This window comes from Homo sapiens, chromosome 7 (genome assembly GCF_000001405.40).
Source record: "Homo sapiens chromosome 7, GRCh38.p14 Primary Assembly".
In the NCBI taxonomy this organism is placed as follows: domain Eukaryota; kingdom Metazoa; phylum Chordata; class Mammalia; order Primates; family Hominidae; genus Homo; species Homo sapiens.
The window spans coordinates 74,122,526-74,148,398 of NC_000007.14; the positions used below are offsets into that span (position 1 = coordinate 74,122,526).

A 25,873-nucleotide genomic window follows, 5' to 3' on the forward strand; every position below is an offset into this window, starting at 1 on the left:
GGTCCTGCGTGGCGATGTGTGTCTGGGGCCCTGGGGAAATAGTCAAGGTAAGAGGAGTTAGTCTTCCCTGACCAGAAGACAAGGATGAGTGTGGTGGCTCATGCCTGTGATCCCAGCACTCTGGGAGGCTGAGACAGGACGATCCCTTAAGCCCAGGAGTTCAAGACCAGTCTGGACAACATAGTGAGATCCTGTCTCTACAAAAATTTTTTTTTAATTAGTTGGGCAGAGGCCAGGTGTGGTGGCTCATGCCTGTAATCCCAGCACTTTGGGAGGCAGAGGCGGGTGGATCACCTGAAGTTAGGAGTTCAAGACCAGTCTGGCCAACATGGTGAAAACTCGTCTCTACTAAAAATACAAAAATTAGCCGGGCGTGGTGGCACATGCCTGTAGTCCTAGCTACTTGGGAGACTGAGGCAGGAGAATCGCTTGAACCCGAAAGGCAGAGGTTGCAGTGAGCCGAGGTGGTGCCATTCCACTCCAGCCTGGGAAAGAGCGAGACTTTGTCTCCAAAAAAAAAAAAAAAAAAAATTGGCAGGCCAGGCACAGTGGCTCACACCTGTAATCCCAGCCCTCTGGGAGGCCGAGGCAGGAGGATCTCCTGAGGTCAGGAGTTTGAGAACAGCCTGACTGACATAGTGAAACCCCATCTCTACTAACAATACAAAATTAGCCAGGTGTGATGGCACATGCCTGAAATCCCAGCTACTTGGGGGGTTGAGGCAGGAGAATTGCTTGAACCCAGGAGGCAGAGGTTGCAGTGAGCCGAGATTGCACCATTGCACCCCAGCCTGGGCAACAAGAGCGAAACTCCATCTCAAAAAAAAAAAAAAAAATTAGTTGGGCATGGTGGCATGCACCTATAGTCCCAGCTACTCAGGAGGCTGAGGTGGGAGGATCCTTTGAGCCCAAGAGATCAAGGCTGCAGTGAGCCATGTTTGCACCACTGCACTCCAGCCTGGGCAACAAAACAAGACTCTGTCTCAAAAAAAAAAAAAAAAAAAAAAAGGCAGGGATGGAGGGGGGAAGAGAACACAGCCCAGTTTTAGGTGGAGCTGAGGTGGTGGCCCAGCCAGGACAAGTGAAGAGTCTTCAGAGGCTGGGTTTGGAGGGCCGTGCATATTCCGGAGGTACTGCTTTCATACTTAAATGTTTTCTTGTAAAACTCACACCTGTAATCCCAGCACTTTGGGAGGCCAAGGTGGGCGGATCATCTGAGGTCGGGGGTTCAAGACCAACCTGACCAACATGGAGAAACCCCGTCTACTAAAAATACAAAAAATTAGCCAGGTGTGGTGACACATGCCTGTAATCCCAGCTACTCGGGAGGCTGAGGTAGGAGAATTGCTTGAACCTGGGAGGCGGAAGTTGTGGTGAGCTGAGATCGTGCCATTACACTTCAGCCTGGGCAACAAGAGCAAAACTCCATCTCAAACAAAACTAAACTAAACTAAACTAAAGGGTTCTATCGAGAAGATGGGCTGCACGTGATGGCTCACACCTAGACTCCCAGCGCTTCAGGAGGCCGAGGTGGAAGGATCACTTGAGGCCAGGAGTTCAAGATCTGCCTGGGCAACATAGCAAGACCCTGTTTTTACCCAAAAAATAAAAAAATTACCCAGATGCTGTGGTGTGTGCCTGTAGTACCAGCTACTGAGAGGCTGAGGCAGGAGGACCGCTTGAGCCTGGGAGGTCAAGGCTGCAGTGAGCTGTGATCGTGCCACTGCACTCCAGCCTGGGTGACACAGCAAGACCTTGTCTCAAAAATAAATAAAACATTTTAAAAACACACTAGGTATTGCAAATACAGGGCATTTAATTTGGTTTTTTGTTTCTGTTTTGTTGTTGTTTTGAGACAGGTCTCACTCTGTCACCCAGGCTGGACAGCAGTGGCACAGTCATGGCTCACTGCAGCCTCAACATCCCAGGGTTGAGTAATCCTCCCACCTCAGCTTCTCAGGTAGCTGACTATAGATACACGCCACTACACCAAGTTAATTTAAAGAAAAAAAATGTGAGAGGCCAGGCGCAGTGGCTCACGCCTGTAATCCTGACACTTTGGGAGGCCGAGGCAGGCGGATCACCTGAGGTCAGGAGTTCAAGACCAGCCTGGCCAACATGGTGAAACCCCATCTCTACTAAAAATACAAAAATTAGCCAGGTGTGGTGGCAGGCACCTGTAATCCCAGCTACTCGGGAGGCTGTGACAGAAGAATCATTTGAACCTGGGAGGCGGAGGTTGCAGTTAGCCGAGATCACGCCATTGCACTCCAGCCTGGGTGACAAGAGTGAAACTGCCTCTCAAATAAAAGTTTAGAGGCAAGGTCTCACTTTCTTCTCTAGGCTGGCCTCAAACTCCTGGGCTCAAGCAGTCTCCTGGGCCTCCCAAAGTGCTGGGATTACAGGCATGAGACTCCATGCTCAGCCACATTTAATACGAGAATTTTTTTGTTTTGTTTTTTTGGTTTTTTTTTTTGAGATGGAGTCTCGCACTGTCACCCAGGCTAGAGCTCAGTGGCACGATCTCCGCTCACTGTAAGCTCTGCCTTCCGGGTTCACACCATTCTCCTGCCTCAGCCTCCCGAGTAGCTGGGACTACAGGCGCCCGCCACCATGACCGGCTAATTTTTTTCTATTTTTAGTAGAGACGGGGTTTCACCATGTGAACCAGGATAGTCTCGATCTCCTGACCTCATGATCCACCCATCTCGGCTTCCCAAAGTGCTGGGATTACAGGCGTGAGCCACTACACCCAGCCAATACAAGGAAATTTTTACATGGCTGTTGAAAGACAGAGGAAAGGCCAAAAGTGGACACTTAGGTAACCCAGAGATGATTGCAGGAGAGAGCTACCACCCTCGGTGGGGGGATTGAAGGGGAGAGGTGATCACTTGAGTTATCTAATGTTGCATAGGGAAGTCACCTCTCAACTTGGTTGCTTAAAGTAACAGGGATCACTCATTGCTCATGATTTCTGTTTTTTTTTTTTTTTTTTGAGACGGAGTCTCGCTCTGTCGCCCAGGCTGGAGTGCAGTGGCACAATCTTGGCTCACTGCAAGCCATTCTCCTGCCTCAGCCTCCCAAGTAGCTAGGACTACAGGCGCCCGCCACCACACCTGGCTAATTTTTTGTATTTTTAGTAGATACAGGGTTTCACCGTGTTAGCCAGGATGGTCTCGAACTCCTGACCTCATGATCCGCCCGCCTTGGCCTCCCAAAGTGTTGAGATTACAGGCGTGAGCCACCGCGCCCAGCTTGATTTCTGTTTGTCAAGAATTTGGGAGTCATTTTGGTGGGGAATTTGTATGTGGGGGTCTCTCCTGGGGCTGCAGTCCTTTGAGGGTGTAACTGGGGCTGAAGTTCCCTTCCAAGAACCCTCATATGTGGCTCACTCACATGGCGGGCAATTTGGTGCTAGCAGTTGATTCTACAGAGAAAAACGGGCTTGAGCCAATGTGCTACAAGCCAATACTATGACACCAGGCTTTTGGTTTTTTGTTTTTATGATTTATGTATGTATTTTTTTTTTTTTTGAGACAGAATCTCATTCTATCACCCTGGCTGCAGTGCAGTGGCACAATCTCGGCTCACTGCAAGCTCCACCTCCCAGGTTAAAGGGATTCTCGTGCCTCAGCCTCCCTAGTAGCTGGGACTACAGGCGTGCACCACCATGCCTGGCTAATTTTTGTACCTTTAGTAGAGACAGGGTTTCACTATGTTGGCCAGACTGGTCTCAAACTCCCGACCTCAAGTGATCCACCTGCCTCAGCCTCTCAAAGTGCTGGGATTACAGGTGCAGGCAACCATGACTGGCCGTTTTTTTTGTTTTTAAAGTTGGGGTCTCACTATGTTGTCCCGGCTGGTCTTGAACTCCAAGGCTCAAGTGATCCTCCTGCCTCGACCTCCCAAAGTGCTAGGCTTACAGTCATGAGCCACCATGCCCAGCTGACGCCAGGCTTTTCAGAAAAGAATAGCTTTATTGCAAGTCAACCAGTAAGGAGACAGAAGTCTAGCTCAAATCTGTCCCCCTGTGCTGGCTTTAAGGCGGTAATTTTATTAGGAAAGGTTTAGGGGGTGGATTCTGATATTAGGTGATTGGCGGAAGCAAAGGGGAGGCCTGGAAAGTGCTCAGGCATGCGCAGTTCCCTCTTCATGTTATCTCATGGGGGGCATGTGCAAATTCCGGGGGTGGTTAGTATGTAACATGCACTGGAAATTCGGGCTGTGACATCAGCAAGCTTGTTCTGTGCAAACTGCAGTTGGCCATATTGGTCCCAATCTATTTCAGCCAGCGTGTTAATCCCACCAGCAGATGAATTTCAGCATTTCTGCAAGTCGTTTCTTTTTTTATCTGCCATCCTGCAAACTGGAAAATTTCTGCTAGTCACTGGTTTCTTTAACTCTTTGGGGCACGGTTTCACTGGTAGGAGGCCTCAGTTTATCCCATGGGCCTCTCCATAGGGCTACTTCAGAGTCCCCACAGCAGCCTCCAGAATGAATATCCCAAGAAAGAAAAGAAAAGTGCCACTAGGGGCCGGGTGTGGTGGCTCACGCCTGTAATCCCAGCACTTTGGAAGTCTGAGGCAGGAGGATCCCTTGAGCCCAGAAGTTCAAGCCAGCCTGGGCAATGTAGGGAGACGCCATCTCTACTAAAAAAAAAAAAAAAAAAGAAGAAGAATTTAGGCCGGGCGTGGTGGCTCACGCCTGTAATCCCAGCACTTTGGGAGGCTGAGGCAGGCGGATCACGAGGTCAGGAGTTCGAGACCAGCCTGGCCAAGATGGTGAAACCCTGTCTCTACTAAAAATACAAAAATTAGCCAGGCACGGTGGCGGGCGCCTGTAATCCCAGCTACTCAGGAGGCTGAGGCAGGAGAATTGCTTCAACCTGGGAGGCGGAGGTTGCAGTGAGCCAAGATCGTGCCACTGTACTCCAGCCTGGGTGACAAAGCAAGACTCCATCTCAAAAAAAAAAAAAAAAAAAAGAAAGAAAGAAATTAGCTGGGTATGGTGGCACACACCTGTGGTCCCAGCTATTTGGGAGGCCAAGGCAGGAGGATTGGTTGAGCCCAGAAGGTCAAGGCTACAATGAGCCAGATTGTACCATTGCACTCCAGCCTGGGCAACAGAGTAAGACGCCATCTCAAAAAAAGAAAAGAGGCCAGGTGCAGTGGATCACACCTGTAATCCCAACATTGTGGGAGGCCAAGACAGGATCCCTTGAGGCCAGGAGTTTGAGACCAGCCTGGCCAACTTGGCAAAACCCTGTCTTTACCAAAAAATACAAAAATAAGCTGGGCGTGGTGGCCCACTCCTGTAATCCCACCTACTTGGGAGGCTGAGGCGGGAGAATCACTTGAACCTGGGAGGCAGAGGTTACAGTGAGCCGAGACTGCGCTATTGCACTCCAGCCTGAGCGACAGAGCGAGACTCCGTCTCAAAAAAAAAGAAAAAAATTACCACAAGCGCAGCTCTGGGTGCATTGCTTATGAATTAACTCCTGCTTTGCAAGGAGCAGCTCTGGTTCAATAAAAGATTGCTGTGTAACACCACCAGCTTACCCTTGAATTCTTTGAGTGAAACCAAAAACCCTCCCAGGCTAATCCACAATTTGGGGGCTTAGCTATATGCCTGTATCGGTACTAATTGTCTTCATTATTGTAGCTTTGTTGTAACTTTTGAAGTTGAGAAATGTGAGCCTTCCAACTTTGTTTTTCTTTTTCTAGACTGTTTTGGCTATTTGAAGTCCCTTGAATTTCCACAAGAATTTTTTTTTTTTAAGTGCCAAGATCTCAGCTCACTGCAACCTCTGCCTCCCAGGTTCAAGCAATTCTCCCAACTTAGCCTCCCAAGTAGCTGGGACTAGAGGCATGCACCACCATGCTAATTTTTGTGTTTTTAGTAGAGATGGGGTTTCACCATGTTGTCCAGGCTGGTCTCAAACTCCTTGCCTCAAGTGATCCACCCACCTCAGGCTCCCAAAGTGCTGGGATTATAGATGTGAGCCACCATGCCCAGCCTCCACATGAATTTTTAGGATGAGCTTGTCAATTTCTGAAAACAAGCCAGCTGGGGATTTGTTTGTTTAGACACAAGATGTCATTCTGTCACCCAGACTGGAGTGCAGTGGCACAACTCCTAGCTCACTGCAGCCTGGAACCCCTAGGCTCAAGTGATCCTCTCATCTCAGCCTCCTGAGTACCAGGGAATACAGACACATGCCACCATGCCCTGCTAATTTTTTAATTTTTGTAGCGACATGGTCTCAAACTCCTGCCCAACCAGGCTGATCTCTTTTTTTTTTTGAGATGGACTCTCACTCTGTCGCCCAGGCTGGAGTGCAGTGGCGCAACCTCGCCTCACTGCAACCTCTGCCTCCTGGGTTCAAGCGATTCTCCTCCCTCAGCCTCCCGAGTAGCTGGTGGGCATGGGCGCCTGCCACCATGCCCGGCTAATTTTTCATATTTTTAGTAGAGATGGGGTTTCACCATGTTGGCCAGGCTGGTCTCGAACTCCTGGCCTCAAGTGATCCTCCTGCCTCAGCCTCCCACAGCACTGGAATTACAGGCATGAGTCACTGTTCCCGGTCCAGCTGAGGATTTTGACAGGGATTGGTTTATGTCTATATGTGAACTGGGGAGTATTGGAATATTGACATCGTAATAATATTAAGTCTCTCAGGCCAGGCATGGTGGCTCACACCTGTAATCCCAGCACTTTGGGAGCTCGAGGCAGGTGGATCAATTGAGGTCAGGAGTTCAAGACCAGCCTGGCCAACATGGCGAAACCCCGCCTCTGCTAAAAATACAAAAATTAGCCAGGTGTGGTGGTGTGTGCCTGTAGTTCCAGCTACTTGGGAGGCCGAGGCAAGAGGATCACTTGAACCTGGTAGGCAGAGGTGGCAGTGAGCCTAGATTGCACCACTGCACTCCAGCCTGGGTGAAAGAGCAAGGCTCTGTCTCAAAAAAAAAAAAAAAAAAAAGGAAGAAGGAGGAGGAGGAGGGGGAGAAGGAGAAGGGGAAGGAAGGAGGAAGGAGGAAGAAGAAGAAATACCTGAAACTGGGTAATTTTTTTTTTGAGAAAGGATCTTGCTCTGTTTCCCAGGCTGGAGTGCAGTGGCACAATCTTGGCTCACTGCAACAACCACCTCCTGGGTTCAAGCGATTCTCATGCCTCAGCCTCCTGAGTAGCTGGAATTGAGATGTGCACACCACGCCCAGCTAATTTTTATATTTTTAGTAGAGACGCGGTTTCATCATGTTGGCCAGGCTGGTCTCGAACCCCTGACCTCAGGTGATCAACCCACCTCAGCCTCCCAAGTGCCGCAATTACAGGCGTGTGAGCCACTGCGCCCGGCTTCAAAAGTACCATTTAATGGCTGACAATTACTTGCCCTGAAATGTGAAACAAAATTCATTTACTACATTGTTTTTAAGATAGCACCTGACCTTCAGTAATCGGAAATAATGATTTCCTATAAATAAAAACCACTGCAGTGCTTTTAGTGATTAGTGTACATAGAGTTTTTCCCCTGGCTGTGACATCATATTATTAAAAGCATTAAGCACCTGGAATTCATGCTGTAGTTGATTTATAAGTTACATAATGTACAAAGCTCCTTTTATAAGAATGTTTTGTGGTCACAATTACTTCAAAACCCAATTACATTCAAATAATCTAATAGCTCATGCTTTGGCAATTATAGAAGTGTGATTTTGACACATAGAAATTTTATGAGGTTAGCAAATAAAAAACGCTATAAAAGAGGTGAACAATGGTTCCTCTGTTTAAATTTAGAGTGCAGCAATATTTAGGTAATATTTTTCAGTTAATATAATCAGCCTAGAATATAGCATTGTAAATCATACAGTGTTTTAGAAATACGGATCTAAAGAAGGTAATACCTTTTCCAAATTATAAAATTTTGGCAAATCAATACAGTACTTTGTAATACAATAAAACTATGTTTTTGTTGGAGTCATATATGACTTTAATCATAATTTCCACTGCAAAAGCACCACCTAAATACTAAATCAATTATGAAGGCTTTTCATGACAGTTTATAACAGAGTCAGTTGTTTTACACAAATTAATATGGCTTTTAAAAAATTATATAATTTCTTGGCCGGGCACACTGGCTCATGACTGTAATCCCAGCACTTTGTGGGGCTGAGACCAGCAAATTGCTGAGCTCAGGAGTTTGAGACCAGCATGGACAACATGGCAAGACCCTGTCTCTAAAAATAAAAATGTTTTAAAAGCTGCAGAGTTAACACAGTAGAGAAATCATGTGCATATAAAATATGCTACGTTTCCTTCTGGGATTGGTCCAAAACTGCTCACAAAAAACTTCAAAACTCTACTTTAAGAAGTTCCAGGCCGGGCACGGTGGCTCACGCCTGTAATCCCAGCACTTTGGGAGGCCGAGGCAGGCGAATCACAAGGTCAGGAGTTCGAGACCAGCCTGGCCAACATGGTGAAACCCCGTCTCTACTAAAAATACAATAAAAATTAGCTCAGCATAGAGGCGTGCGCCTGTAATCCCAGGTACTCGGGAGGCTGAGGCAGGAGAGTCACTTGAACCTGGGAGGCGGAGGTTGCAGTAAGCCAAGATCGCGCTACTGCACTCCAGCCCAGGCGACAGAGCGAGACTCTGTCTCAGGAAAAAAAAAAAAAAAAGAAGCTCCAATACCAAATTAAAGTCGTTTTTCAAGTATTGGTAAATCTTCCATAAACAGGGCAACACTTAATGATCAATAGATCATTCGACTAGGGCTTATGCTGGTGGATCTCTTTTGTTTAAAGCTCCAAACTCAGCTGGGCTTGGTGCTTCACGCCTGTAATCCCAGCACTTTAGGAGGCCAAGGCAGGTGGATCACCTGAGGTCAGAAGTTCGAGACCAGCCTGGCCAACATAGTGAAACCCCCGTCTGTACTAAAAATACAAAAATTAGACAGGCGTGGTGGCACAGAAAAAAAAAAGTCAATTATCCTATTTGGGGATTTAAATTATACTATTTTTTATTTTTTTGAGACAGAGTTTCACTCTGTCACCCAGTCTGGAGTGCAGTGGTACAATCTTAGCTCACTGCAACCTCCACCTCCTGAGTTCAAGCGATTCTCCTGCCTCAGCCTCCCGAGTAGCTAGGATTACAGGCACCAGCCACCACCTGGCTAATTTTTGTATTTTTTGTAGAGACGGGGTTTCACCATGTTGGCCAGGCTGGTCTCAAACTCCTGGCCTCAAGTGATCTGCCTGCTTCGGCCTCCCAAAGTACTGGGATTACAGGAGTGAGCCACCACACCACCTCGACCAGCCTTTTCCTCTATAAATTTAAAAAAAAAAAAAGGCCAGGTGCGGAGGTTCATGCCCGTAATCCCAGCACTTTGGGACGGATCACTGTAATTCCAGCTACTCAGGAGCCTGAGGCAGGAGGATCACTTGAACCCAGGAGTCGGAGGTTGCAGTGAACCAAGATTGCTCCACTGCACTCCAGCCTGGGCAACAGAGCAAGACTCCAGCTCAAAAACAAAGAAAAAAGAAAAAGGCCAGGTAAGGTGACTTACATCTGTAATCCCAGTACTTTGGGAAGCTGAGGCAGGAGGATTGCTTGAGCCCAGGAGTTCAAGGCTACAGTAAGCTAGTAAGCTATGATTGCACCACTGTGCTGCAGCCTGGGTGACAGAGCCAGACCCTGTCTCATGAAAAAAAAAAAAAAAAAAAAAAAAAAGAAAAGAAAAGAAAGGAAGAAAAGTGCCAAATTGTTTCTCAAAGCAGTTCTAGTGATTTATGGTCTCACTTGCAGTATATCAGATTCTTCGTTGTCCAGATCTTTTTAATTTTTTACAGACTAACAGGTACAATACAGTATCTTACTGTGGTACTAATTTGAGTTTCCCTGATTTCCTCTATAGTTGAGCATCTTTACGTGTTTAGTGGCCACTCATGTTTCTTCAGATCTTCTGCCTGCCTTCCTCCCTCCCTTCCTCCCTCCCTTCCTCCCTTCCTCCTTCCCGCCCTCCCTTCCTTTTTTTTTTTTTTTTTTTTTTTTTTGAGACGGAGTCTTGCTCTGTCGCCCAGGCTGGAGTGCAGTGGCGGGACCTCAGCTCACTACAAGCTCCACCTCCCAAGTTAAATCGATTATCCGGCCTCAGCCTCCTGAGTAGCTGGGACTACAGGCGCCCGCCACCACGCCCAGCTAATTTTTTGTATTTTCAGTAGAGACAGGGTTTCACCGTGTTAGCCAGGATGGTCTCGATCTCCTGACCTCATGATCCGCCCACCTCGGCCTCCCAAAGTGCTGGGATTACAGGCGTGAGCGTGAGCCACCGCGCCCGGCCCCTTCCTTCTTTTTTTTTAAAAAGAGAGACGGGTGCTCCCTTTGGCAGCAGATATACTAAAAAAGAGAGACGGGAAGGCCAGGCACAGTGGCTCACACCTGTAATCCCAGCACTTTGAGAGGCCGAGGCTGGTGGATCACCTGAGGTCAGAAGTTCGAGACCAGCCTGGCCAACATGGTGAAACCCCATCTCTACTAAAAATACAAAATTAGACGGGTGTGGTAGTGCATGCCTGTAATCCCAGCTACTCAGGAGGCTGAGGCAGGAGAATCAATGAACCCGGGAGGCGAAAGTTGCAGAGAGATGAGATTGTGCCATTGCATTCCAGCCTGGGCAACAAGAGCGAAACTACGTCTCAAAAAAAAAAATGCATAAGTTTTGTGAACAAATATTTCATAATTTTCTCTACTGAGGTCTTAGACTTTTTTTTTTTACATTTTACAGAATACTTCATATCTTCTTTGTCTCTCCCCTTTTTTTTTGCAATCACCTTGAAAACATTAAGATTCAGATGGTCCTCTAATTTTCCTGTCTCCTGTTATCCTTTGTGGTGTGTGTGTGTGTGTGTGTGTGTGTGTGTGTGTGTGTGTGTGTGTGTGTTTGAGACAGAGTCTCACTCTGCTGGACAGGCTGCAGTAGAGTGATGGCATCTCGGCTCGCTGCAACCTCCGCCTCCTGGGCTCAAGTGATTCTCCTGCTTCAGCCTCCCGAGTAGCTGGGATTATCGGCATGTGCCACCACCCCTAGCTAATTTTTGTATTTTTAGTAGAGACGGGGTTTCACCATGTTGGCCAGGCTGGTTTCAAACTCTTGACCTCAAGTGATCTGCCCACCTCAGCCTCCCAAACTGCTGGGATTACAGACATGAGCCACTGCGCCCAGCCTGTTATCCTTTGTTTTTGGAAGGAAGCATTTGAAAAAGAGTGACTCTATCTTGAATAGGGGCTGGGTAAGATGAGGCTGAGACCTGCTGGGCTGCATTCCCAGTAGGTGAGACATTCTTATTCACAGGATGAGACAGAAGGTTGGCAGGACTGGTATCACAAGATACGGGTCACAAAGACCCTGCTGATAAAACAGGATGCTGACAGGGCACAGTGGCTCACTCCTGTAATCCCAGCATTCTGGGAGGCTGAGGCGGGCAAATCACTTGATGCCAGGAGATCAAGACCAGCCTGGCCAACATGGTGAAACCCTGTCTCTACCAAAAATACAAAAATTACCCAGACATGGTGGCAGGCACCTGTACTCCCAGCTACTCAGGAGGCTGAGGCAAGAGAATTGCTTGAACTCGGGAGGCAGAAGTTGCAGTGAGCCAGGATCGCACCACTGCACTCCAGACGGGGCAACAGAGCGAGACTCCATCCCAAAAAAAAAAAAAAAAAAGAAAACAAAAACAGGACGCAGTAAAGAAGCCAGCCCCAAAACCCACCAACAGTGATGAAACTGACCTCTGGTCATCCTCACTGCTCATTATACACTAATTATAATACATTACCATGCTAAAAGACACTCCCACCAGGACTATGACAGTTTACAAGTGCCACGGCAACACCCGGAAGTTACCCTATATGGTCTAAAAGAAGGAAGAACCCTCAGTTCTGGGAAATCCCTGCCCTTTCCTGGAAAACTCATGAATAACCCATACTTCGTTTAGCATAGAATGAAGAAATAACTGTAAGTATACTCAGTCAAGCAGCCCATGCCACTGCTCTGCCTATGGAGGAGTCACTCTTTATTCCTTTCCTATTCTTTTTTTTTTTTTCTTTTTCGAGACAGAGTCCCGCTCTGTTGCCCAGGCTGGAGTGCAGTGGCACAATCTTGACTCACTGCAACCTCTGCCTCCCAGGTTCAAGCAATTCTCCTGCCTCAGCCTTCCGAGTAGCTGGAATTACAGGTATGCACCACCACACCCAGCTAATTTTTGTATTTTTAATAGAGATGGAGTTTCACCAGGTTGGCCAGGCTGGTCTCGAACTCCTGACCTCAGGTGATCCACCTGCCTCAGCCTCCCAAAGTGCTGGAATTACAGACGTGAGCCACTGCGCCCGGCTATTCCTTTATTTTCCTGATAAGCTTGCTTTCAGGTCGGGTGTGATGGTTCACATGTGTAATCCCAGCACTTTGGGAGGCCTAAGTGGCAGGACTGCTTGAGCCCAGAAATTCAAGACCAACCAGCGCAACATAGTGAGACCATATTTCTATTAAAAAAAAAACAAAAACAAAAAAAACTTGGCCAACATGACGAAAACCTGCCTCTACTAAAAAAATACAAAAATTAGCCAGGAATGGTAACACATGCCTGTAATCCCAGCTACTCAGGAGGCTGAGGCAGGACAGTCACTTGAACCTGGGAGGCAGAGCTTGCAATGAGCTGAGATCAAGCCACTGCACTCGAGCCTGGGTGACAGAGCGAGACTCTGTCTAAAAAAAAAATACAAAATAAAAAAAAGAACTTATTTATGTAACCAAATACCACCTGTTCACCTGTTCCCCAAAAACCTGTTGAAACAAAAATAAATAAATAAATATAAAGAAATAATTTTTATTTATTTATTTTATTATATTTTGAGATGGAGTCCCGCTCTGTCGCCCAGGCTGGAGTGCAATGGCGCGATCTTGGCTCACTGCAAGCTCCGCCTCCCGGGTTCACACTATTCTCCTGCCTCAGCCTCCCGAGCAGCTGGGACTACAGGCGCCCGCCACCACGCCCGGCTAATTTTTTGTATTTTTAGTGGAGACAAGGTTTCACCGTGTTAACCATGATAGTTTCCATCTCCTGACCTCGTGATCCGCCCACCTTGGCCTCCCAAAGTGCTGGGATTACAGGCGTGAGCCACTGCACCCGGCCCCAAGAAATAATTTTTTTAAAAGCTGGGGTTTCCAAAAACCCTCTCCTGGAGTTAGATAATTTTCTAGAATGGCTCACAGAGCTCAGGGAAATACTTTACTTATGTTAAGTAATTTTTTTTTTATTTTTTATTTTTTGAGACTCACTCTGTCGCCAGGCTGGAGTACAGTGGCGCAATCCCAGCTCACTGCAACCTCCACTTCCTGGGATCAAGCGATTCTCCTGCCTCAGCCTCCTGAGTAGCTGGGACTACAGGCGCAGGCCACCACGTCCAGCTAATTTTTGTATTTTTAGTAGAGACAGGGTTTCACCGTGTTGGCCAGGATGGTCTCGATCTCTTGACCTTGTGATCACTCGCCTCAGCCTCTCAAAGTGCTGGGACTGATTACAGGCATGAGCCACTGCACCCGCTGCAACTAGTTTATTATATTCAAATTTTTTTACTTAAATTTTTTTTTTTTTTTTTTTTTGAGACGGAGTCTCGCTCCGTCCCCCAGGCTGGAGTACAGTGATACAATCTCGGCTCACTGCAACCTCCGCCTCCAAGGTTCATGCCATTCTCCTGCCTCACCCTCCCGAGTGGCTGGGACTGCAGGCGCGTGCCACCACGCCCGGCTAATTTTTTGTATTTTCAGTAGAGACGGAGTTTCACTGTGTTAGCCAGGATGGTCTCAATCTCCCAATTCCATGATCCGCCCACCTGGGCCTCCCAAAGTGCTGGGATTACAGGCATGAGCCACCACACCTGGCCTTTTTTACTTAATTTTTAAAATAGGGATGGAATCTTGCTATCTTGCCCAGGCTGGTCTTGAATTCCTGGGCTCAAGTGATTCTCTCACCTCAGCCTCACCCTCTGTAGTAGCTCGAACTACAGGTGCACACCACCACATGCAGCTAAGTTTTTAATTTTCCTTTTTTTTTTTTTTTGAGACGAAGTTTCACTCTTGTCGCCCAGGCTGGAGTGCAATGGCGTGGTCTCAGCTCACTGCAATCTCTGCCTCCTGGGTTCAAGCGATTCTCCTGCCTCAGCCTCCCGAGTAGCTGGGACTACAGGCACCTGCCACCACGCCTGGTTAATTTTGTATTTTAGTAGAGACAGGGTTTCACCATGTTGGTCAGGCTGGTCTTCAGCTCCTGACCTCAGGTGATCCACCCGCCTTGGCCTCCCAAAGTGCTGGAATTACAGGTGTGAGCCACCACACCCAGCCTTTAATTTTATTTTCTATAGAGAGGAGTCCCATAATATTACCCAAGCTGGTCTCAAACTCTTGGCCTCAATAAATCCTCCCACCTCAGCCTCCTGAGTAGCTAGGACTACAGGAGTGCACCACCATGCCCAGCTAATGTTTTTATGTTTTGTAGAGATGAGGGTCTCATTATGTTGCCCAGGCTCGTCTTGAACTCCTGGGCTCAAGTGATCCATCCTCCTGCCTCAGCTTCCCAAAGTGCTGGGATTACAGGTGTGAGCAAACATGCCCAGCCTAATATTATTAATACATCGTAGCTGTCCATATTTATAGGGTGCATGTGAAATTTTGTTATGTGCATAGAAGTGAGATTGTAGGAACCAAGGAAAAAACTTCTGCTTCACCTTCTGAAGGTTTGCTGATAAATCAGCTCACAAAAGGCAGATTAATTAGAAAAAGGGGGATACAAATTGCATTCACACGTATCTGGGGAGAACCACACCACAGCGTGATTACCCACCACCCCAAAGGCGTTCAGACGCTTATATACCATCTTCTTTTTTTTTTTAAGTAGAGACTGGGTTTTCGCCATGTTGCCAGGCTGGTCTTGAACTCCTGCACTCAAGTGATCTTCCCCTCTTGGCCTCCCAAAGTGGCGCTGGGATTACCGCCATGAGCCACTGTGCCTGGCACTATATACATATATATAGATATGTATACATATCTATATCTATAGATATCTATATATCTATATCTATATGTATACATATCTATATATATAGACATGTGTATATATATCTATAGATATCGATATCTATAGATATAGATATACTATCTTGCAGATACAGAAAGAATAGGGGTTTGGATCCTGGTAAAACAGGTTATGGCAGGGGGAAGAAAGAGGAATTCTATTGAGGGGACATAAAAGATTACTGGGGGCTAGGCAGAGTGGCTCATGCCTGTAATCCTAGCACTTTGGGAGGCCAAGGTGGGCAGATCACTTGAGGTCAGGAGTTCGAGACCAGCCTGGCCAACATGGCGAAACCCTGTCTCTACTCAAAACACAAAAATTAGCCAGTCATGGTGGCACATAGCTGAAATCCCAGCTACTCAGGAGGCTGAGGCAGGAGAATCACTTGAACCCAGGAGGAGGAAGTTGCAGTGAGCTGAGATGGCATCACTGCACTCCAGCCTGGGTGACAGAGTGAGACTCCATCTCAATAAAAATAAAAATAAAAATAAAAATAAACATTGCTGGGGAGAATGAATGGATTTAGGAACAGAGATTAACTTGTACATAATTCTCTTTGGAATTTCAATGAGCCTGAGGGAGACATTATCTTGCGGAAGAGTCTGTTCAGGTGTGGTTCCATTCTTGATTTTATAGAAAGGAGAAGAAAAAAAAACAATTGTTTTCCTTGTTGAGGGGGGATGTCTGGATCTTAGGCAGAGAAAGTAACTTCAACTTCATCCTGTGCTGTGGGGGAAAAGACGGTCTTTTAGACACAGTTTATCGTTACTGCTGCTTTTCCTGTGTTTGGCCTATACCTTCCTGCCTCTTTGAATGATGGGTAGACCAGAGTTTGTGAGTCAATTTGTATTAGCTGTGTGATCTGGAGCAAGCTACTGTTGTCAGAGGAGTTTGAACCACAGTGATTCCATCTTGAATAGGGGGTGGGTAAAATGAGGCTGAGACCTGCTGATATTGACAGGAGGCAGCCAATTGCCTAGGCCAATAGGGGCGGGTCCGCGGTGAAACCCCACCTCCAACCCGAAGACGGTTTAAAGCCTGAAACTGAAGGTACAAGTTTAAACCTTAGACCGGATTGAGAGCTTACCTTCCTGTTTGTCGCGCTTTCCTCTGATTGATCCCCACCCTTCGCCTATTTTACATATACCCACCCTTTCCTAATTGGTTTTCTACTCTTTCTTTTTTTTTTTGACAGAGTCTCGCTCTGTCACCCAGGCTGGAGTGCAGTGGTGCAATCTCGGCTCACTGCAATCTCCACCCCCCGGGTTCATGTCATTCTCCTGCCTCAGCCTCCCCAGTAGCTGGGACTACAGGCGCCTGCTACCACGCCCGGCTAATTTTTTGTATTTTTTAGTAGAGATGAGGTTTCACCGTGTTAGCCAGGATGGCCTCAATCTCCTGACCTTGTGATCTGCCCGCCTTGGCCTCCCAAAGTGCTGGCATTACAGGCATGAGCCACCGTGCCCGGCGGTTTTCTACTCTTTCATGACCACCTTTGAGTAGTGTCTTTGCTTTAACTCACCTCATTAGCATAAACTCCAGTGTGATCAAAAGGACTCATTATAAATAACAAAAGACATTCCTCCAACTCCTGGACTTAAGGGATCCCTCAAGCAAGCCTCAGCCTCCTGAATAGCTGGGACTACTCCTTTTTGCATACTCACAAGCCAATCAGCACACACTCCCCACCCTGTGCCTATAAAGGCTCCAGACTCAGTCAGCAGGGGAAAAGACGACCTGACTTCGGGGAAGGCAGCCTGCACTTCCCATCCCCTCTCCAGCTCCCCTCTCCACTGAGAGTCGCTTTCATTGCTCAATAAAATTCTCCACCTTCATCATCCTTCAATCGTCCGTGTAACTTCATTCTTCCTGGATGCTGGACAAGAGCTTGGGACCCAGTGAGTGAGGATACCCAGAAAGGCTGTCACACTGGGCCTTTGCCCTCGCCTGTGAAGGGCAGCTGTCCCCATGTGATGAGGCAAGGGGCCAGCTGATCTGCTGACATGTCACCATCTGTGGACAGCAGAACTAAAGGAGCACTGTAATAACACCCCCTCTGCAGCTTCGGGGACACGGGCACCCTCACCTAGGTGCTGCTGCTTTCCCCTCAAGGTGACATGCCTGCTCTGGCCATGGGCCCTGCATACAGCTTGCTCCTGTGTTGGTGCCTGGAGAAGCCAGCTGGCCAGATCCCACACTTAGTCACTTGTGTGCTCCCTCCTGCAAGGGGTTGAGCACAGGGGGCTGAGTAGATGGGGCATCCCTTCCATGAGTCCAGCGAAGGTGCCTAGAAAAACCCTGCATCACCACTGAGCTACTTTCCCAGGAGGTGAGGCATTCCCAGTCACAGGATGACACAGGAGGGTGGCACAAGACATAGGTGACAAAAAACCTTGCTGATAAAACAGGTTGCAGCAAAGAAGCCGGCCAAAACCCACCAAAACCAAGGTGGCGATGAAAGTGACCTCTGGTAGGCTGGGTGCGGTGGCTCAACGCCTATAATCCCAGCACTTTGGGAGGCCCAGGCGGGCGGATCACCTGAGGCCAGGAGTTTGAGACCAGCCTGACCAACATGGAGAAACTCCGTCTCTACTAAAAATACAAAAAATTAGCTGGGCGTGGTGGCACATGCTTGTAATCCCAGCTACTCAGGAGGCTGAGGCAGGAGAATTGCTTGAACCCGGGAGGCGGAGGTTGCAGTGAGCCAAGATCGTGCCATTGCATTCTAGCCTGGATGACAAGAGTGAAACTCCATCTCAAAAAATAGAAAGAAAGTGACCTCTGGTCGTCCTCACTGCTCATTATGTGCTAATTATAATATATTAGCATGCTAAAGACACTCCCATCAGTGCCATGACAGTTTAGAAATGCCGTGGCAACATCAGGAAGTTACCCTATATTGTCTAAAAAGGGGAGGAACCGGCCGGGCGCAGTGGCTCATGCCTGTAATCCCAGCACTTTGGGAGGCCAAGGCAGGTGGATTGCAAGGTCAAGAGTTCAAGACCAGCCTGGCCAAGATGTGAAACCCTGTCTCTACTAAAAATACAAAAATTAGCTGGGCATGGTGGCGGGCGCCTGTAATCCCAGCTACTCCAGAGGCTGAGGCAGGAGAATTGCTTGGACCCAGGAGGCAGAGGTAGCAGTGAGCTGAGATTGCACCATTGCACTCCAGCCTGGGTGGCAGAGCAAGACTCTGTCTCAAAAAAAAGTGGGGAGGAACCCTCAGTTCCAGGAATTGCCCGTGCCTTTCCCAGAAAATTCATGAATAATCCACCCTTGTTGGGCATGTAATCAAGAGATAACTATAAAAAATATCCAGCCAGCAACCTTAGGGGATGCTCTGCCTATGGAGTAGACATTCTTTGTTCCTTTACTTTCTTTTTTTTTTTTTTTTTTGTGAGATGGAGTCTCACTTTGTCATCCAGGCTGGAGTGCAGTGGTGCAATCTTGGCTCACTGCAACCTCTACCTCCCCAGCTCAAGCGATTCTCCTGCCTCAGCCTCCCAAGTAGCTGGGATTACAGGCGTATGTCACCACGCCCAGCTAGTTTTTGTATTTTTTAGTGGAGACAGGGTTTCACCATGTTGGCTAGTCTGGTCTTGAACTCCCAATCTCAAATGATCCGCCCACCTTGGCCTATCAAAGTGCTGGGATTACAGGTGTGAGCCACTGTGCCCAGCCTATTCCTTTACTTTCTTAATATACTTGCTTCCACTTTACTCCATGGACTCGCCTGGAATTGTTTCTTGCGTGAGATTCAAGAACTCTCTCTTGGCTGGGTGTGGTGGCTCACGCCTGTAATCCCAGCACTTTGGGAGGCCGAGGCAGGTGGATCATGAGGTCAGGAGTTTGAGACCAGCCTGACCAACATGGGGAAACCCTGTCTCTACTAAAAATACAAGAAAATTAGCCGGGCGTGGTGGCACGTGCCTGTAATCCCAGCTACTCAGGAGGCTGAGGCAGGAGAATCACTTGAACCCGGGAGGCAGAGGGCGCCACTGCAGTCCAGCTTGGGCAATAGAGTGAGACCCTGTCTCAAAAAAAAAAAAAAAAAAAAAAGATTAAAAAAGAACCCTCTCTTGGGGTCTTGATTGGGACTCCTTTCCAGTAACAGTGTGAAAGAAAAATAAAATCACCAGACCCCAAACTCACTATGTCAAAGGGCAAAAAGCTAAGCTTAGGAACTGAGTCATACAGGAAACTGCATTTTCTTTTGTTCCTAACCAGATAGCTGCAAGATTGAATGCCACGTATCTCCACAGGTGGCTTCCCTCACCCTGACCATGTAAATTCAGCTTACCTTCACAGGTACAGGACAAATAAAAAAATAGAAATCTGGCCAGGCATGGGGGCTCACACCTGTAATTCCAACACTTTGGGAGGCTGGGGTGAGAGAATTGCTGGAGCTCAGGGGTTGGAGATCACCCTGGGCAACCCAGTGAGAGGCTGTCTCTACGGAAAAGATTTTAAATTAGCCTGGTGTGGTAGTGCACACCTGTAGTACCAGCTACTCAGGAGGCTGCATTGGGAGTATTGCTTAAGCTCAGGAGGTCGAGGCTCTAGTGAGGTGTGATCGCACCGCTGCACTCCAACCTGAGCAACAGAATAAGACCCTGTCTCAAAAAAAAAAAAAAAAAAAAAAATCATGGCCGGGCGTGGTGGCTTACGGCTGTAATCCCAACACTTTGAGAGGCCAAGGGATCACCTGAGGTCACGAGTTCGTGACCAGCCTGACCAACATGGTGAAACCCCGTCTCTACTATAGACAAAAAATTAGACAGGCATGGTGGCACATGCCTGTAATTCCAGCTACTTGGGAAGCTGAGGCAAGAGAATCACTTGAGCTGAGGCGGCAGAGGTTGCAGTGAGCCAAGATTGCACCATTGCATTCCAGCCTGGGCCACAAGAGTGAAACTCTGTCTCAAAAAAATAACAATAATTTTTTTTTTTTTTTGAGGTGGAGTCTTGCCCTGTCACCCAGGCTGGAATGCAGTGGCACGACCTTGGCTCACTGCAAGCTCCGCCTCCCGGGTTCACGCCATTCTCCTGCCCCAGCCTCCCGAGTAGCTGGGACTACAGGCGCCTGCCACCACGCCCGGCTAAATGTTTTGTATTTTTAGTAGAGACAGGGTTTCACCATGTTAGCCAGGATGGTCTCAATCTCCTGATCTCATCATCCGTCCGCCTAGGCCTCCCAAAGTGCTGGGATTACAGGTGTGAGCCACCGCGTCCGGCCAATATTTTTCTTTTTTTTAAATCATACTTCCAGGCCAGGTGCGGTGGCTCACACCTGTAATCCCAGCACTTTAGGAGGCTGAGGTAGGCAGATCACAAGGTCAGGAGTTCGAGACCAGCCTGGCTAACATGGTGAAACCCTGTCTGTACTAAAAACTACAAAAATTAGCTGGGCGTGGTGGCACACACCTGTAATGCTAGCTACTCAGGAGGCTGAGGCAGGAGAATTGCTTGAGCCCGGGAGGCGGAGGTTGCAGTGAGCTGAGATCACACTACTGCACTCCTGCCTGGGGGACAAAGTGAGACTCTGTCTCAGAAAAAAATAATAATAATAAATCATACTTACCCCCACCCTAAGACAAAAGCATAATTGACTTCTTCCTCTACTCTGTGTTTACTTTATCTTGTGTAAAATACAGATATATTTAGCACAAGATGAATTCATAATTGACTGTTCCTTTTTCCCTCCTTTCACATGTGTTAAAAGAAAAACTTCAGCCAAATTAAATTTAAGGGAGTTTAATTGAGCAATGAACAATTTGTGAATCGGGCAGCCCCCAGAATCACAGCCGATTCAGACAGACTCCAGTGCAGCCATGTGATGGAAGAAGATTTATAGACAAAGGGAAATGACATACAGAAGTCAGTGAGGTACAAAAACAACTGGATTGGCTACAGGTCGGCATTTGCCTTATTTGAATATGGCTCAAACAGTTGGCTACATCTGACTGGCCAAAACTCAGTGATTGGCACAGGGTGTGGGCTATGGCCGAGTTATACCTCCGCTTGTTACAGTTCACAATGTACAGAAAAACCTTTAGGCCAAATTGAAATATGTAAAGAAGCAGCTTTAGGCTAAACTTGATTAACGTATGTAAGATGTGGATTCAGTGATCATGAATGAAAGCCTCACAGAAAGTGACCACTTATTTCACTACCTTCCCTAGTGTTTTTGTTGTTGTTGTTTGTTTTGTTTTGTTTTGTTTTTTGAGATGGAGTCTCACTATATCATCCAGGCTGGAGTGCAGTGAAGCGATCTTGGCTCACTGCAAGCTCCGCCTCCCGGGTTCACGCCATTCTCCTGCCTCAGCCTCCTGAGTAGCTGGGACTACAGGCGTCCGTGACCACGCCTGGCTAATTTTTTTGTATTTTTAGTACAGACGGGGTTTCACTCCGTGTTAGCCAGGATGGTCTCGATCTCCTGACCTCGTGATCTGCCCACCTCGGCCTCCCAATGTGCTGGGATTACAGGCGTGAGCCACCGCACCCGGCCACCTTCCCTCCTTTTTCATTTCTTTCCTCCTTCCCCTCCTGCCCACTCTTTCTCCTTTAAATATTGAAGTCCTCAAAACTCTCTGGAAAAGCCATGGGTCACAGATTTTTCTTTGGCTTGGGTCTCTTTTTCCTGGGCATGTCCTCAACCTTAGCAAAATAAACCTCTAAATTCATTGAGTCCCCTCCTCTCCCCTCCCCTCCTCTTCCCTTCCCTTCCCTTCCCCTTTCTTTGAGACAGGGTCTCACTCTGTCATCCAGGCCAGGGTACAGTGGTGCAAATGATAGGGACAAGAGGCAGGGAAATTCTGGGCAGAAGAGGGTGGGTCCCCAGAGAGGGCATTGCCCTCAAGCTGAAAAACCTGGAACTGCAGCCCAAAGTGAGAACTGACATCCCTGTTTTTTGTTTTTTGGTTTTTTTTTGAGATGGAGTCTCCCCTTCTGTCACCCAGGCTGGAGTACAATGGTGCGATTTTGGCTCACTGCAACCTCCACCTCCCGGGTTCAAGTGATTCTCCTGCCTCAGCCTCCCGAGTAATCCGAGCCGGGATTACAGGCACACACCACCACACCCGGCTAATTTTTGTATTTTTATTAGAGAAGGGGTTTCACTATCTTGGCCAGGCTGGTGTTGAACTCCTGATTTCGTGATCCACCCTCCTTGCCTCCCAAAGTGCTGGGATTACAGGCATGAGCCACCGTGCCCAGCCAACATCGCTGCTTTCCTGCTTGAATGTTGCCTTTTCCAAAACCACCCTTGACCTGCCCTGCCCCCAATCCTGTGCCCATAAAAACCCCAGGCCCAGCTAGCAGAGAGAGGAGAAGCAGCTGGACGTCAAAGACCATGGTTGAACATTGGAGAGAAGTGGCTTGACTTCAGAGGGACAGTTTGCTGGAGTAGCTTTGGAGGAGTATGGCCAGGGACAGCTGGACTTCAGAGAAAGATTACCTTCCTGCTCTGTCCCCTTTTCAGCTCCCCTTCCCGCTTAGAGCCACTTTCATCAGCAATAAAGTCTCCTGCATTTACCATCTTCAATTCATTTGTGTGACCTAATTCCTCCTGGACACTGAAAAAGAACTTGGGTGCCACGAGTGTGGATGCAAAAGGCTGTCACACCGATCCTCCACTAAGCTGTTAACACTTAAGCCATTCACAGACAGCAGAGCTAAAAGAGTACTCTAACACTGCCTCTGGGGCTTCAATAGTCTCCGGCACCCTCCGCTAGACACTATCATGGGGCTGGTATGGAGATGGCTCTTGCTGGCGCCTAAAAACTCTCGCCCCGTCTCCTGCACCTGCTCACCTGTGCTCCCTCTCCTGTGAGGGGTGGAGTAGTGAGTGAGTGGAGTTCACCCCTACCAGCACCAAAGCAGCTGGCTAGTTCTTAGGCAACATCCTGCTTCACAATCACAGCTCACTGCAACCTCCCACCTCCCAGGCTCAAGTGTTCCTCCTGCCTCAGCCTCCCAAAGTGCTGGGATTGCAGGCATGAGCCACCATGCCCAGCCAGTCATTTTCTTTGGTTTACACTACTTTACCTCCCTGAGCCTTATTTTCCCCAAATGAGAGGTAGAAACTCCTCTGTTGGGAGGATTAAATGAGATATGTCTCAAATTTTTGTTGAAAACTGGACATTTTATTTTATCTTATTTTACTTATTTTTGAGACAAGGTCTCACTCACTCTGTCACTCAGGCTAGAGTGCAGTGGTGCAATCTTGGCTCCCTGAAAGCTTAACCTCCTGGGCTCAAGTGATCCTCCTGTCTCAGCCTCCTGAGCAGCTGGGACTATAGGCTCCAGCCACCACACTTGGCTAATTTATTTTTATTTTTATTTTTTGTAGAGACAGAGTCTCACTATGTTGCCTAGGATGGTCTGGAACTCCTGGGCTCAAGTGGTTCTCCTGACTCGGCCCCACAAAGTGCTGGCATTACAGGTGTGAGCCATGGCACCCAGCAAAAACTGGACATTTTAAATCATGTATTGTAATTCTAAATTCTGATGTCCTGGTGGTAGCTGTTGTAGATTTTGACATTGTTGTTGTTTGCTGGTTGTCTGTTTGGTTGTTTAATAACTTGAAGCCACTAAAGGAAGCCTCTGTTTTGTTTTGTGATTCTTGCTTTTATTTTCAAGACTGGCTTCCTAGGGGTCCATCTCTGAATCAGCATTGCTTAGTGCCCAGCCACTGTTTGGTCAGAAGGTTTCCGTAAACACCTTGACACACTAAGCCTTCCTTGGTCAAGAGGACCTGTGAGGGGGGTTGGGACACAGGTTAAATTATTTCCTCAAGGGCGTTGACATTTCTTTCTTTTTTCTTTTTTTTTTGAGATGGAGTCTGTCTCTATTACTCAGGCTGGAGTGCAGTAGCATGATCTTGGCTCACTGCAACCTCTACCTCCCAGGTTCAAGCGATTCTCCTGCCTCAGCCTCCCGAGTAGCTGGGATTACAGGCGCCCGCCACCACACCCAACTAATTTTTGTATTTTAGTAGAGATGGGGTTTCACCACCATGTTGGCCAGGCTGGTCTGGAACCCTCGACTTCAAGTGATCCACCTGCCTCAGCCTCCCAGAGTTTGGGATTACAGGTGTGAGCCACCACACCTGGCCTCTTTTTTTCTTTTCTTTTTTTTTTTTTTTTTGAGATGGAGTTTCGCTCTTGTTGCCCAGGCTGGAGGGCAATGGCATGATCTCGGCTCACTGCAACCTCTGGCTCCCGGGTACGAGCAATTCTCCTGCCTCAGCCTCCCAAGTAGCTGGGACTATAGACATGCGCCACACGCCTAATTGTTTGTATTTTTAGTAGAGATGGGGTTTCACCATGTTGACCAGGCAGGTCTCGAACTCCTGACCTCAGGAGATCTGCTCACCTCAGCCTCCCACAGGTATGAGCCACCATGCTCAGCTTTATTTTGTTTTATTTTATTTTATTTTATTTTATTTTATTTGAGACAGAGTCTCGCTCTGTCGCCCAGGCTGGAGTCCAGTGGAGCTATCTCGGCTCACTGCAACCTCTGCCTCTCAGGTTCAAGCAATTCTCATGTCTCAGTCTCTCAAGTAGCTGGGATTACAGGTGTGTGCCACCACGCCCAGATAATTTTTTTATTATTAGTTTTAGTAGAGTCGGGGTTTTGCCATGTTGCCCAGCCTGGTCTTGTACTCCTGACCTCAAGATATCCACCCGCCTCGGCCTCCCAAAGTGCTGGGATTATAGGCATGAGCCACCATACCCGGCCTCTTTTTTTAATTTTTATGGATATGTGGTAGGTATATGTATTTATGAGGTACATGAGATATTTTGATACAGGCATACAATGCATCATAATCACATCAGAGTAAATGGGGTATCCATCATCTCAAACATTTATCATTTCTTTGTTACAAACATTCCAATTATGCTCTTCTAGTTATTTTTAATTGCATAATAAATTATTGTTGACTGCCCAGGCACAGTGGCTCACGCCTGTAATCCCAGCACTTTGGGAGGCCGAGGCAGGTGGATTGCCTGAAGTCAGGAGTTCAAGACCAGCCTGAACAACATGGAGAAATCCCGTCTCTACTAAAAATACAAAATTAGCCAGGTGCAGTGGCGCATGCCTGTAATCCCAGCTACTTGGGAGGATGAGGTAGGAGAATCTCTTGAACCCAGGAGACAGAGGTTGCGGTGAGCCGAGATCGCACCATTGCATTCCAGCCTGGGCGACATTTTGTATGACATTGCTTAACCATAAACTCTTCATTTGCTTTTGTTTTTCTTTTCTTTTTTTTTGAGACGGAGTCTCGCTCTGTTGCCCACGGGTTCCACCGTGTTAGCCAGGATGGTCTCGATCTCTTGACCTTGTGATCCGCCAGCCTCGGCCTCCCAAAGTGCTGGGATTACAGGTATGAGCCACCACCCGCGGCCTGTTTTTCATTTTATTGTCTGAGAATCCCTTGCAGCCTGGGGGCATAGATTCGGGGAATTCTCCCACTCCTCACTTTCTTTTCTTCCTTAGGAATATCTTGGCCAGGTGCAGTGGCTTACACCTGAAATCCCAGAACTTTGGCAAGCTAAGGCAGGAGGAATGCTTGAGGTCAGGAGTTTGAGACCCGCCTGGGGAACAAAGTGAGATCCTATCTCTATTTAAAAAATAAGAATAATGGCCAGTCTTGGGGGATCACTCCTGTAATCCCAGAACTTTGGAAGGCAGAGGTGGGAGGATCACTTGAACCCACAAGGTTGAGGCTGCAGTGAGACGAGAT

The 25,873-nt window shown here is 47.7% G+C and overlaps 2 annotated features.

The window, feature by feature from the left end:
* Positions 10,538 to 11,325: an enhancer, noted in NCBI's record as "OCT4-NANOG-H3K27ac-H3K4me1 hESC enhancer chr7:73547393-73548180 (GRCh37/hg19 assembly coordinates)". NCBI's record gives its function as "activates a minimal SCP1, AML or CMV promoter by ChIP-STARR-seq in primed H9 embryonic stem cells {active_cell/tissue: H9 hESC(primed)}" and the evidence as "EXISTENCE:reporter gene assay evidence [ECO:0000049][PMID:30033119]".
* Positions 16,300 to 16,829: an enhancer, noted in NCBI's record as "OCT4-NANOG-H3K27ac-H3K4me1 hESC enhancer chr7:73553155-73553684 (GRCh37/hg19 assembly coordinates)". NCBI's record gives its function as "activates a minimal SCP1, AML or CMV promoter by ChIP-STARR-seq in naive H9 embryonic stem cells {active_cell/tissue: H9 hESC(naive)}" and the evidence as "EXISTENCE:reporter gene assay evidence [ECO:0000049][PMID:30033119]".